The 15,022-nt window shown below is 41.2% G+C and overlaps 1 long non-coding RNA gene across 2 annotated transcripts; it reads right to left on the reverse strand.

The window, feature by feature from the left end:
• Window positions 1-6,003: 6,003 nt before the first annotated feature.
• LOC105379225 (uncharacterized) lies at window positions 6,004-7,216 on the reverse strand. 2 transcript variants are annotated; one of them, XR_948927.4, is made up of 3 exons: window positions 6,849-7,216; window positions 6,617-6,724; window positions 6,004-6,082 (listed from the first exon to the last, which is right to left on the reverse strand). It is a non-coding gene; the product is annotated as an uncharacterized LOC105379225 (long non-coding RNA). The 2 variants fall into 2 exon arrangements; XR_007060802.1 differs by having other exon boundaries at window positions 6,617-7,216.
• Between the last annotated feature and the right edge of the window lie 7,806 nt (window positions 7,217-15,022).

Consider the following 15,022-nt stretch of genomic DNA (forward strand, 5'->3'; position numbering starts at 1 on the left):
TCCTTGTGTTTCTTATTCTAGAGAGATGTTAAAAAGGTACTTATTTTCCACCACCTTAAAGGACCCTATTTATCTGTTCAGATGGAAAAATGGACTTTGGAGATTGTGGGGTCAGCCTCCTGACTCTTTGTTCTAAACTCTGGGAACCAAAAAGGACTCACCTACAGTCCACATAGCCTCAGTTTTTACAAGAAATAAAATTTTAGCTAAACTCAGGACCATACAACAGATCGGTTGTGCTTGAAAAGTTGTGTTTTAGAATATGGTTTTCCATTACATGAATAGCAACAAAACTGCTGAGTCAGAAACTCAAGCAACCTCTCCTAACCTCTATCCCGGGTTTTGTAAACACTCACTGGATTCTGGGAAATCACGAGACAGCAGTAAGCAGAATTCCATTTTACCATTTATTAGTCATGCAAACTTGGGCAACTTATTTAATCTTTCTGAGTCTTAGTTTCAACATTTGTAAAAAGGACATTTGTAAACTCCTAATCCACAGATTAAGTGTTAGCAGAGTTTGGACCAAGGACCGAAAACTGAAAACAAGAAGTGTCAAGCACCACCACGTTTTCAGGCAGGCTTTTGGCCATTTCCACAAGACTTGCAGAATTATCCCCAAACCCATTTGCCGCCATTGCCGAATGAGCCAATTACTCCTCTCAAGATATAAAAGAGAATATTAATAAGATGTGCTAGAGAGGCTGCCAGGGAGAGTGTCCTTGTGGAGGGCTGCTGGGGTGCCATGCAGTTCACCCAAATGGGAGGAGGCAGGTAAGGAAAGGGGTGCCCTTCTGCAACCCACCTGCTTCAGATCAGAGAGAAACCAGAAAATATTAGAAAATGTTGGAAAACTTGAAGTGTGGAGAGTATGCATGGACTGGTGTCTCATTCATGGTTTTTGTTTTGCTTTGTTTTTTAGAGACAGGGTGTCACTGTGTCACCCAGGCTGGAGTGCAGTGGCATGATCATAGCTCACCGCAGCCTTGAACTTCTGGGCTCAGTCAATCCTCCTACCTCAGTTTCCTGAGGAACAAGGACCACAGGTGTGCACCACCATGCCTGACTAATTAAAAAAAAGTTTTTAGAGAGGGGATCTTGCCATGTTGCCCAGGCTGGTCTCAAACTCCCGGCCTCAAGCGATCCTCCCACCTCATCCTCCCAAAATGCTGGGATTATAGGTGTAAGCCACCATGCCCAGCCTCACTTGTGTTTTATAAAAAGGCTGAAAGCGAGAAGCTGTGGCTGAACTTCCCTGGAGGCAGAGGGAGGAGTGGGCTCTAGGAGGAGCTAGAAGCACCACACCAGGGGCATCACAGCGGCTATGACTTCCATGGGCCAGATGGCCTTGATCTGGGCCAAAGAAAGAAAGAAGGAGACTCCATCTGAGAAGACCATCTTGGGAGGAGGGGAGGTGGCAGCAGTAATCCCCACCTACAGGGAGTCAGAGTGGATAGAAGTTGAAGAGGCCAACCCAGGAATGATCATTGGTTGTGCCCAATGGGGCTGTCCAAGATCCCCACAAGAGGGACCCAGGAGACACACAATCCATATGTGGCCATGTGCCACACTTGTGTGGGCAGATTAGCACTGCCCCAGTCAAAGACAGCCTTTTCAGCCCCTCAACACTTCTCCTCTCTTCCCTTGAACCCCAAAGGAGCACAGTAAGTTCGGGGAAAGGACTAGTGGAAGACAGATGAGGGGATAGGAAGGAAGTTAACTGTGGCCTGGCCACACTGTAGACCTCCTAGCTGGAGGCAGGATGCGTCTAAGGAGAGGAAACACTGTGGTGAATTGGATGTGGGTTGGGGCTGGGTGCGGTGTCTCGTGTCCATAATCCCAATAATTCAGGAGGCCAAAGCGAGAGGATCGCTCAGGGCTGAGAATTTGAGACCAGTATGGCCAACACAGCAAGCCTATGTCTTTATGTATTTACTTTAAAAATATTTTTTAAAATAAAAATAAAAAATAAATGTGTGTTGGCATTTCAACTATGTATCAGATTTTTTAATATCTGAAGGTGATAGGTAAATCAATGAACTCAGAAATTCATCCAAGGACAGAGAAGAGCAATTATTGGAAAAATACATGCCATGATATTGAGGAAGAATCAGGTTGGTTTTTACTGTCTCTCTGCAGAGCCCGCCTTGTACAAAGAGCCCTGGGAGATACCGGGAAAATGGGGAGGCCACACCATGGCAGAAGACTCTTTCTAGAGGGATGTCTCTGCCCTGATCTTCCTAGGGAATTTTTGCACTTTTTCTTATGGAGCCTGGAGGAGCATGATGAGTGATGGTGGCCAAACTGGTTCTGCAGAGATGGTCTGGCACCTGCTGTGGTTGAGCTTTGAAGCCTCTGCCAAACACAAGGAGGGCACAGGAAAAGTCACATTTCACACCCCGTTGCAAAAGAATAGGATGAGTTGATGTGAGCTAAGTACTATGCACAATGCCTGGCACCCAGGAAATGGTATATGGAAGGTACAGCATCTTCATTTTACTATAGACAGAATGGATGCTAAAATTCATCCAAATCTTTAGTTGTCTCTATAATCTGAAATTCCACTCTCTGATTAATAAAGTTGTCTTTAAGAAAGTGGTTTTTCATTACGGAAATGAAAATTGTGACTAACAAACTCAAGTCCAGCCTCAGTCTCAGGAGGATCCGTTATGCAAAAAGGACCCTGCCTTTTGCAACATACAACACACAAACCCACAGCGGGTTCCAGTCTCAATGGCTCACTTGTCTGACAGGATCTTCGCTCAGAAAGAAACAATTGTCAGGTTCATGTTGTGGCCTAGCAAGAGTTTGGAAAGTTCCGTAAAGAAAAATAATGTAGACAAATTTAGAACCTGCCCCAGGTGTGTTGATTTGACGCCAAACCATGGATAGGTAACTTGATTCAGCTGAACCTCGTTAAAATAATGTTGGAAAACATTACATTACTGCAACGTCCTTTTTATTTATTTATTTATTTACTTATTTTTTTATTTTTGAGAGAGAGTCTTGCCCTGTTGCCCAGGTTGGAGTGCAGTGGCGCAATCTTGGCTCACTACAACTTCTGCCTCCTGGGTTCAAGCACTTATCCCACTTCAGCCTCCCAAGCAGCTGAGATTACAGGTGTGCACCACTACGCCTGGCTAATTTTTGTATTTTTAGTAGAGATGGGGTTTCACCATGTTGGCCAGGCTGGTCTCAAACTCCTGACCTCACGTGATCCACCAGCCACGGCCTCCCAAAGTTCTGGGATTACAGGCGTGAACCACCACGCTCGGCCCATTACTGCAACACTCTAAGAAATCGGTAATAACCATGTCATTACAGAGAAGCCCAAACCTTCCTATTCTATTTGACATGCACTAATTGAAAAAAGGCACTTTGATTGCTGTAACATAAGCCTATCATCCACTGAATTAGAGTCCATAATTATTAGAATCTATTTTGATGAGCACCTGCTTTGGGGGATGAAATACTCTATATGAGGCCTCTTTCTATCTAATATAGGACTCTTTATCTTTTTAAATGGTGATTTGGTGGCAGATGACAGTCAACATGTCTCTGAATCATCATGAGTTTTTAGCATTTTACGGAACTGGTTTGGAGATTAAAACTAACATCATTTTGTTACAACAGTGGTGCTGTGTAATAAAAAGGAGAAGTCATTCGTAGAGTTCATAAACCTTTTTTTAATAATTTAGATTTTAGGCCGGGCACAGTGGCTCACTCCTGTAATCCCAGCACTTTGGGAGGCCAAGGCAGGCGGACCACCTGAGGTCAGGAGTTTGAGACCAGCCTGACCAACATGGTGAAACCCCGTGTCTACTAAAAGTAAAAAATTTGCTGGGCATGGTGGCATGTGCCTGTAGTCCCAGCTACTCGGGAGGCTGAAGCAGGAGAATCGCTTGAACCCGGGAGGCGGAGGTTGCAGTGAGCCGATATCACGCCACTGCACTCCAGCCTGGGAGGTTGCAGTGAGCTGAGATTGTGCCGCTGCACTCCAGCCTGGGTGACAGAGTGAGACTACATCTCAAAAATAATAATAATTTAAAAAAGTGAATAATTTATATTTTAATTCATTCAACAACTATTCAGTGAGGGCTATTACATGCCCATAGGTAAGTGTTGCAATAAAAAGAAGAAATTTTTACATTTCTATTTTTTAAGGAAGGCATTTTCTGACATTTATGAGTAAGGATATTCCAAGAATATTGTCATGTATCTTGTTGTTTCACAGCTCAAGCTATGGGAATGAAAATTTTAATCTGAGTTTCTAATTATTTCCCCGAGACAGCTTGAGAGAGGGGGAGGTAACTTCCCCCATCTCCTAGGTAGGTGGTAGGTAACTAACCCTGCAGTGCAGAACCAATGCTCTGAAAATGACCAGGAAAAATGCCCCAATATCTACTGCTTCCTTCTAAGTGGGAAGATGGGAAAAGAATATTGGAAGAAAAAAATCAAAGTGATTATGAGAAAATCATAAGGGTAAAAATAAAACATGAGAGAGAGGAAAAGCAGCAGCTCTATATTATTTTTTAAGTCTTGTTATGGCAGTTGGTTGCTTTTATTTTCAAGTGGGTTAACCTGACATTGTATTCACTTTGACTTTAAATGCTAGAAGAGTACATTTCAGCAAAAAGAAAAAAAAAAGGCAATGGGAAACTTTCATTGTTATAAATGAAAAGTTGGCCAGGCATGGTGGCTCATGCCTGTAATTTGAGAATTTTGGGAGGCTGAGGTAGGAGGATCACCTGAGGTCAGGAGTTCAAGACCAGCCTGGCCAACATGGTGAAACTCCGTCTTTACTACAGAAATTGGCTGGGTGTGGTGGCATGTGCCTATAATCTCAGCTACTCAGGAGGCTGAGGCAGGAGAATCATTTGAACCTTGGAGGCAGAGGTTGCAGTGAATCGAGATCATGCCACTGCACTCCGGCCTGGGCAACAAAGCAAGACTCCGTCGCAAAAAAAAAAAAAAAATATATATATATATATATATATATGTATGAAAAGTGACCGTAAACATCTAGGGAGCTGCAGGTGGAAAGAGACAACACCCAAACAGATAAACAAGTGTCTAAAAATGCTGGCAACCGAGCAAGCAAACAAAAGGCATCAGACTTCACCTTGATCCATTATCAGATCTCAGAGTCATCTATGCAATCTTCCTCCCTGAACTTTCTAAATATCCAAAGCCAAATTCCTCCCCTCCCACGTCCCTGTCCCTGGCCTCGCCATTCACACACACCTTCTTTTCCCTGTCTTGCTGTGAAACTTGGCTTTCGCCATGCACCCAGTCCCCAGGCTAACCACCACCCCCAGTACCACATTACTTTTGCTCTTCTCTTCTGGAATACTGACTTCCAAGTCTAACATCTGTCACGTGATACACCGCAATTAAATAGCCTCCTAACCAGCCCCCCTTTCTCTCTGTTCTGCTACAGAGTGATGGCTCAAAACCAAATCAGGGCATGGCATTACCTGGCTTTAAAACCACTCATAGTTCTCTCACCTGCAGAATAAAGACCACACCCTCCAGCGTGACATTCAAGTTTTTTCTGAACCTGCCTCAGCAGCGTCACAGTGATGGCGATGGTGAGATCACACACACACATTTGTACATTTATAGTAGGACAAACTTCATGACCCTCAGGAGTTACTCTTCCAGGTTTTAGCTCCCACTGTTTCCTCTGCCTGGATCGCTTTTCTCCTTTAACTGCCTGGTGAAGTCTCATCCTTCAAGTACCAGCTCCCCAGCTCTATTACTTCCTGGAAGAGAGCTCACATGGAGCTAGAGTTAAGAGTGGTTCCTGCTGACGGCCCAGCACAACAAGGCAGAATGAGTGTGTGTGTCTACAGGCAGGAGTGGCTTATGCTACTTAAGAAAATCAAAGAAACAAGAGGACATATTTTTAAAATAACAGAAATGGAAGCAAACTGAATGAATTTTTTAAAGTTGCTGGAAAGAGAAGAATGAAACATGTCACAAAATAAAGAGACAAGATGATTTCTGGTCCCTTTTTATTTTCAGATGGCTTCACTTGACATTCAGTTTCACTGTAAGCACTGGAACAGCACAAGCCAGCCTTTTATTAAAAAGAGAGAGAGAGAGAGCGCCATTTATTTCCATATTAACTAGAAACAAGCAATGAGTCAGGTGTTTAAAAAAGAACATGATTGCCTTAATATCATCAACAGTGCAACCTCTGAATGAGGATGTGGGCTAGTAAAAATAAAAATAATGATTGATACATTTTTTTCTATTTACTTATCTACAGGGATTAAAAGGATTAGCTAGATGATGGATTGGAATGTTAAAACTCTCAGAAAACATATTTCCCTAGTTACAGATACAAACAATGAAGAACACTTGTCTTTGTGTCAAATTCTAATAAATGATATTCAGGTATATTACAAAGAAGTCAAAACGCTTATTTCAATGCCAAAGGGGGAGCTGGTGAAGTAAACTGGTTGTAACCTATTAGAGTTCTCCTTTCCCATGTTCTGCAGGGAAGAAAACAAATCAGTTCATTTTCCAAGTGCAGATCATCTCCAAATGTCATGTGCAAAATTATGCTTACCTGTCTATTAAGATAAAATGAATCAGCAGTGAAACTTACATTATGTTAAAGACAGAACAGCAAAGACGAGACAAGGTATAAATTCTGAACCGTCTAGCTAAATATTATAGGAGGTGTCCTTTTCACTTTGTAGGTCCTAGCTGAAACCTGTTGCAAAAAGGGTGGTGAAGAGTTAGCTGAAATCAAGATTCCTTGGAAGGCAATCCACAATGGATTTGCAGAATGAGGTCTGCAAGGACAAAAGTCAAATTAAATCATGTCCTTTTATCACCTGGCTAGAGACTGGTCCATACCCCCTACCATTTCCTTGATTTGGTTTACACTAAGACATTTCTGGGCCTTTGCTACTCCTGTCTCTGCCTGAAATGTCCTTCCCCAACCTTCTCTGACTCATAAAATCTTATTGATCCTTTATGACCCAGTCCAAATGTCACTTCAGTGACCCTCCCACTTTGGCCCCATGTCCCTGGAAACAGCCCTCTGCATATACTTTTATTATACTGTTTATCTCTTGATATCATGGCTGTTTCCTCCTATGCCTGTCTCTCCCTCTGAACTCAGCCTGTTCCATTTTTCTGAGCACCAAGCTCAGTGAGCATTCAAAGAATGCTTGATGAAAGAATTACTAAATTAATGCATAAATGGAGATGAAATTGCTGGCCTTAAACCTGCCCATGTCATCCCCTCTCTTAAACTGTCTACTCCCAGTTTCCAGTATCCCTTTGTTGTAAGGCAAGGCCATCAGATGATTTCCAAAATAACTACAACTCCGGGATTCTAAAGCAGTTTTCTTCTGTATCAGTTAATTATTGCTGCATGACAGTCTATCCCCAAAGTTAATGATTGACTATATATCATTTCTCTATCATTTGATGTTCTTGTCTGGGCTCATTCATGAGACTACATTCAGCTGGCTGCAGTGCAGGGACCAAGATGGACTTGTCAGGAGCCTTGGATCGAGCTGGCAGCTGGGTACCTTGGTCCTCTTCCAAGCCTCCTTTCATCCTCCACGCACTAGACTAGCTTTTTTACTTGGACAAGCTCCAATGCGTGAGCAACTATCAAGCCTCTGCTACGCCATACTTGCCGGTGTCCCATTGACCGAGGCAAGTCACGTGGCCAAGCCTAGTCATTGAGGGGTGAATTAGATTCAGCCTCTTTCTAAGCAAAGTGGCAAATAATTTGTAGTCATTTTTAATCTACTACGACTTCATTGAAATCCTATTAATTTTCTTGTCACCACCATTGTAAATGGGATCTTTTTTCTATTTTGCCTCTTCCTGTCAATATTTTTACCCTTAAATGTAGGCCCTTATCTAATTTAATTGGTTAGCCCTTCCAGCTCAATGCTTAAAAAATAGTTCTGAACTTGCTGGGAATGCTTCTGCTATTAAACCACTTATAAAGTTGATCATTGATTTAAGTAAATATTCTTTACCACTGAGGGAAATATCCCTCTATTTTATTTCACCACGGGTTTTTGTTGTTGTTGTTGTTGTTGTTGTTTTAATTAGTCGTTCATGTTGAATGTTAACAAAATAGAATCTTAGAGGATCGAAAAACTGTCTATCAGGTACTATGCTTATTAACCGGGTGATTAAATAACCTGTACACCAAACCCCCGTGACATGCAATTTACACACATAAAAACCTCCAAGTGTATCCCTGAACCTAAATAAAAGTTTAAAAATTGATTTTAAATTTTACAAAAAGAATCTGTTAGTATTTTTTAATTAATATAACGGGTTATATGAATAGATTTCTCACTACCGAGCATTCATTCTGTTTTTTATACAGATCCTCCCTCTCCGGCCTCCCACCCTCAGCTGTCAAGAGATGACTATTCTGCATACAGACTGTCAATGGATTTCAGCCTTCCAGTTCCACTTCTTCCTCTTCCCCAGCTGTTAGCATCTAGTTCTGTGCTGTCCAACCCAATCACAATATGCCACCTGATGCTACTGAACACTCTGAATATGGTGAGCTTGAATTGAAGTGTGACACAGTGTAGAACACACAGACTTTGAAGGCTTAGCACCAAAAAAAGAATGTAGATCTCTCACCAATAATTTTAATATTGAGTACATGTTGAAATGAAGCCATTTTAGATATATTGGATTAAATAAAATATCATATGAAAATTTCTTTTTTTACCTTTTTTAATCTCACTACTAGAAAATTTTAAATTATATTACATACATAACTACATGTATCTCTATTGGACATCACTGATCTAGAGGAATTCTACTCTTTGGTTGTACATATTCCTAAGATATTTTGATATTCCTGTTTAAAGATAGTTGACCAGGGACGTTGGCTAACGCCTGTAATCCCAACACTTTGGGAGGCCAAGACGGGTGGATCGCTTGAGGCCAGGACTTCAACACCAGCCTGGCCAACATGGTGAAACCCCTTCTCTACTAAAAATGCAAAAAATTAGCTGAGCATGGTGGCGTGGTGGCATATGCCTGTAGCCCCAGCTACACGGGAGACTGAGGCACAAGAATTGCTTGAACCCCAGAGGCAGAGGTTGCAGTGAGCTGTGCCATGGTACCCGGTCTGGGCAACCAAGCAAGACTGTCTCAAATAAAATAAAATAAAATGGAGATAGTTGAACGTACTTGTGATCCATAGTCAGAGTTGTGACCTGGCTTTGTTCTCACCTCTCTCTATACATGCCCTAGATAATCCCCTCTTCTCTGGGTTTGACCACGTGACTTAGCAAATGCAATCAGAGGGTTAAAAAGTGTTTGTGTATTAGGGTTGCCCTCTCTTGCTGCTGGAACCCTGAACCGCCAAGCGAAGCAGCCAGGCCAGCCTTTTAGAGGATGAGAGACCATAAAGAAAGACAGGCCATGCTGTCTCACACATTTCTTCCAGCCAAGCCCAGATCCCAGCTGACATCAGCCCCATGACTAACCCCAGGCAAGACCAGCAGAAGTGTTACCCAGCCCAGCCAGAGAATGGAAAGAAATAAGAAACCGTTGTTGCTTTGTCACAAAAATTTGGATATAATTTTTATGCAGCACAGGCCAACCAACTCAATGCTCTATGTCTTTAAGATGGAAATCATGCTATGTGTATGGTGAGCACTGGCCATCCTCAATTTAATTAGTGAAACTGATTGCCAACTTCTCTAGAGTCTCTTGCAATTTTATTTTAAACTAGACAAACCTGTCACTGGTATGTCATTTCTTACCAATGTCTTCTCCCTTACTTTCTATCTTCCTTATCATGCAGTTCAAAATTCACATACTTTATGGGTTTCTCTCAAGCAACTTCCTTCTTTGCCAACCAGTGACAGATAGGCACTCTTGCCTCCATGAGGTAACTTTTATTGCCTGCACAATAAGTAACTTTTCACAGGTAATGTGACTAACAGGTGACACAGGTCATTACCTCTCCCACGTATCTTTCAGCTGACACATCCTCTAAATCCAGCCCACCTCCTCCCAATGGGATCAGCGGGTATTCCCCAGGCAAGAGAGGGAGCACATATCTTCAAATTCATTAAATCTGGTATTTAGAGCAGAGTTGGCAACCAAGCAACATCATCACTAGAATTTACTGTTCATGAATTACTCTCTAATAGAATCAATTTTCTAAGAGATTTAAAACCTATTTAAATCAAAACACAAATAACATGTGGCTGGGGGCTGATAACAGAACAGGGCGTTGACTGGCCACTGTAGGTTTCTTAAAGAAGGCTGCCAATTCCTAATGTGTTTGCTTTCTTTTGATTTTCTATCTTCCCCATTCTACCCACTGCAATTTGTATCCTTTTCACAGCTTCATTTTATCATTCCAGTTTGAAATTTCACATTCAAATCGTCCAGTTACATATAAATATTCTTCTGGGTGCAGTAGCATGCACCTGCAGTCCTAGCTACTCAGGAAGTGGAGGTGGAAAAATCCCTTGAGCCCAGGAGTTTGAGGCTAGCCAGGGCAACATAGCAAGATCCCATCTCTAAATTACCTAAGTGAAATTAAAATGAAAAAATTCTACTTTCAGAAATATTCAATTATAATGTCAATGAGAGAAATATTTTTGGCTTGGCACAGTGGCTTATGCCTATAATCCCAGCACTTTGGGAGGCCGAGGTGGGAGATGACTTGAGGCCAGGAGTTCAAGACCAACCTGGCCAAGATGGTGAAACCCCATCTCTACTAAAAATACAATAATTAGCCAGGTGTGGTGGCGCACGCCTCTCATCCCAGCTACTCAGGAGGCTGAGGCATGAGAACCACTTGAACTTGGGAGAAGGTTGCAGTGAGCTGAGATGGCGCCATTGCATTCCAACCTAGGCGACAGAGCGAGACTCTGCCTCAAATAAAAATGTTGCAATGTATGTTGACTCTTTAGCTTATATTCCATAGGTACAGAAAGCTAGATATACCTAAATATTGCCTTCTCACATCACTAACAATGTCATCAATACAAATGTACTGCTCTCTGCTATACTCTTGTAGGTTCCCATTTTTATTATAAATTTCGGAAACACTAGATGATGAGTATAAGGAGGTTGAAACTCAATATTACCCAAATATAGATTAATCCAGCTCTGTTAGTATTAACAAAAAATATCATTTTTGGCCGGGTGTAGTGGCTCACATCTGTAGTCCCAACATTTTGGGAGGCCAAGGCGAGCAGATCACGAGGTCAGGAGATCAAGACCATCCTGGCCAACATGGTGAAACCCCATCTCTAATAAAATACAAAAAATTAATCGGGCGTGGTGGCGTATGACTATAGTTCCAGCTACTCAGGAGGCTGAGGCAGGAGAATCACTTGAACCCGGGAGGCGGAGGTTGCAGTGATCCGAGATCACGCCACTGCACTCCAGCCTGGGTGACAGAGCAAGACTCCACCTCACAAAAAAAAAATGATTTTTATATGTTATGTATTTTATAAAGGTTTTCTCACCCATCCTTATGGAAATCCTACTGAGTAGAAACCATTTCATTTTACTTTTTTTTTTTTTTTTTTTTGAGACACGGTCTTGCTCTGTTACCCAGGCTGGCACACAGTGGCGCCACCTCAGCTCACTGCAGCCTTGGCCTTTTGGGCTCAAGCAATCCTCCTTTCTCAGCCTCACAAGTAGCTGAGACTACAGGCGCCCAACATCAGACCCAGCTATTTTTTTTTTATTTTTGATAGATACAGCTTCTCACTTCTTTGCCTAGGCTGGTCTCCAACTCTTAGGCTGAAGGGATCCTCCCATCTTGGCTTCCCAAAGTGCTGGGATTACAGGTGTGAGCTACCACACCTGGCTTTCATCTTACTATTGAAGAAAAAAGGCTCCCAGAGTTGGTGCTAATTACCTTCCCATCATCAGTTCGAAAGTCACTTCTGCCTGCACCATGGTACCTACATTAAGAAAGTAAGACGTTAGAGTACATGCTCTCTAATGTCCTTCCAGCCTCAACGTTGGCTTATTTGCACATACTATAGTAGGTGTGCCCAGTTCCCTATCGCTGGGCATTTTTCCCAGGTCTCTGTGACACGTAACAGGGTCAGGAATGAAAGTATACCTGCCCAATTGTTAACATTATATGTTGTTATTGATCCAAATGAACTGAAAACCGATAAAATGCCTAACCCATGGCATCAAGCTTTGCAAACAAATGACAAGTTTGGTAAGTTTAACAGGTTCCGTTTTGAAAGGCATCTGCAAGGTAGAGGTGGCAGAGAAAGCTAAGCTGATGACAAAATGGTCTTTCTCAAAAGCATATGCTTAGAAAGTCTCTATTTTACGACATTCACTTTACTAGACTTTAAACAATTCTCACATCAACCATAAAGCAAGCAATATGCATTTCTGCATGTGTCTATATGGTGTACTTTTGAAATCAGTATGTATTAATCAATGTTAATAATGATTAACTCCTCTATTTCTCATATTGTAGCTGTTTCAGTGGAATTTATCCCATTTCTGTCTGGGTAAAACATAACTGAGAGCAGCAGTGAGACAGGATAAAGAACTTTCCAGTGCAGGTTTACAGTGCGTTCCACTCTTAGCAATGACTGGTGAAAAATCACATGTCCGTCCTGCTACTCAGATTATGACAATGTATTACTGTTCAGGGAAGGGGAGGCTATTATGCCCTGAAAATATGGAAGGAGACACTTGCTTTTATACTCCTTTTTCTTTCCCAAGTCCAGGGCATTCATCAGTCAAAATGGCTTGTTAAATTAATTAGTTTTTACTTTCTCCAAAACAGTAAGTCCTATGGGATGGGGCAATACTTCTCTTACGAACCACCACAGTTTTATTTGACATCTGTCGGCTAAAATTTTCCCTTTTATATAATTTAAACTTTCTTTTAATTATTTGTCATTATTACTACTATTGTTATTTTGGAGACAGAGTTTCGCTCTTGTCACCCAGGCTGGAGTGCAGTGGTGCGATCTCGGCTCACTGCAACCTCTGCCTCCCAGGTTCAAATGATTCTGGTGCCTCAGCCTCCCATGTAGCTGGGACTACAGGGATGCACCAACCATGCCCGGCTAATTTTTTTGTATTTTTAGTAGAGACATGGTTTTGCCATGTTGGCCAGACTAGTCTCAAACTCCTGACCTCAGGTGACCCACCTGCCTCAGCACCCCAAAGTGCTGGGATTACAGGCGTGAGCCACCGTGCCTGGCCTAAACATTGTAACTGAAGTTTATGAACTAGAAATATACAATGTTTCCCTGCGTTACTAGGTTCAACATATTTTGGACATAAGTTCAGAATACCAATAGCATAATATTGTACACATAAAATTAGACCATTCATAGAGTTGCCTTATTTGCTTAGCGACCACAGGAAAGAAAGGGTATTCAGAGTTCCAGGAAAAAAATAAGAAAATATGTTTGTTAATACTTCTAAGGATGCTATGCTCACCAGTATTAATATGATAATATTTAAAATGACCTTTGGAAAGAAGAAATAATATAAAGATGAAAAATCAGGCTGTCTGGTTTTTTTCTTTACCAGTATACAGCGTATTTGCTGAACATATTCTTGAAGTTCAAAGTCAATGCCATATATGAATTTTGTTATGACTGATTTGTATGTTGAATTTCATCATTGCTATTTGTTTCCATGTAAAGACTGTTTCTATATCATGTTTAAACATAAAAAATACTTACAAATGTGGAAATATACCACTCCATTTTTTCCTGGAATATGTGCACATCATTTATTCTGCATGTATTTCTGTGAATGGCCTGACTGTTATTGTATCAAAATAGAATTTAGCTCTGTTCACATAAGACTAGAGCTAGTTACGGCCATAAAAGACTAGAGCTAGTTATGGCACATTCACAATTATGGGAGAAAAAATGTGTGTCATAGGAATGTGAGATTTTACTTCAAAATTAGAAAAACGGAGACACTTAACTGATCATGATTTTTTAAAATAATCTTTTTCATATGTTTAAAATTCTAGAGAAATACAATGTGTAAAATCTCAAACAAAATAAAAATCAATTGTACATCCCATTGTTCCTTCTAGTATTTTTGTATACACAGATATTCTTTTTAAGATTTAATTGGTTTCATACTGCCCCACTACTTTATCATCAGCTTATTATAAAGGGTACTCTAGGCTGGGCGTGGCAGCTCACACCTGTAATCCCAGCACTTTGGGAGGCTGAGGTGGGTGGATCACGAGGTCAAGAGATCGAGACCATCCTGGTCAACACTGTGAAAACCTGTCTCTACTAAAAATACAAAAAAATTAGCTGGTTGTGGTGGGGCACACCTGTAGTCCCAGCTGCTGGGGAGGCTGAGGCAGGAGAATCGCTGGAACCCTGGAGGTGGAGGTTTCAGTGAGGAGAGATCACGCCACTGTACTCCAGCCTGGCAAAAGAGCGAGACTCCATCTCAACAACAACAACAAAGGTACTCTAGTGGATATCTTTATACTAAATCTTTCTACATACTCTGTTTATTTCCTTGAAGCAAACACCTAGAAAGTTAATTCAGAAACCAAAATAAAGGTTCATATTTAAGATTTTTAAAAACAAATTTCAACATCATGTCTGAAATAAATGTTTATTTACTTTACCTCTAGTAGTGATTTTTTTCCACAACTCTGGCCAAATTTGGGTAGTATTTTTCCCCCTACATGATTTCAATCTAAGAAGAAAAAAAATGGTTTCTCTTTGTTCTATTTGGCATTTTTGTGAATAAAAGGGTCATTTAATTCATCACCCTGGAACTTGACTAGTTGATGTCTATTTTCTTTTTCTCTGTGCATATTCTTCACCCAATTTTCACCGCAATACTAAGATTTCCTGTTGATTTGCCAGACAGATGAAACATCAACTTCTTTTCCGCCACGTAAACTAATAAAGATTTGTCTTAATTTTGTGTGAGGCATGTTGAAATCAAAATATTTTAAACTCTTACGTAGCTAAATCTATCAACCTTTTTCTCCATCATTGCCATCTTGGAT

The sequence above is a fragment of the Homo sapiens genome, chromosome 8 (assembly GCF_000001405.40).
Source record: "Homo sapiens chromosome 8, GRCh38.p14 Primary Assembly".
NCBI lineage: Eukaryota > Metazoa > Chordata > Mammalia > Primates > Hominidae > Homo > Homo sapiens.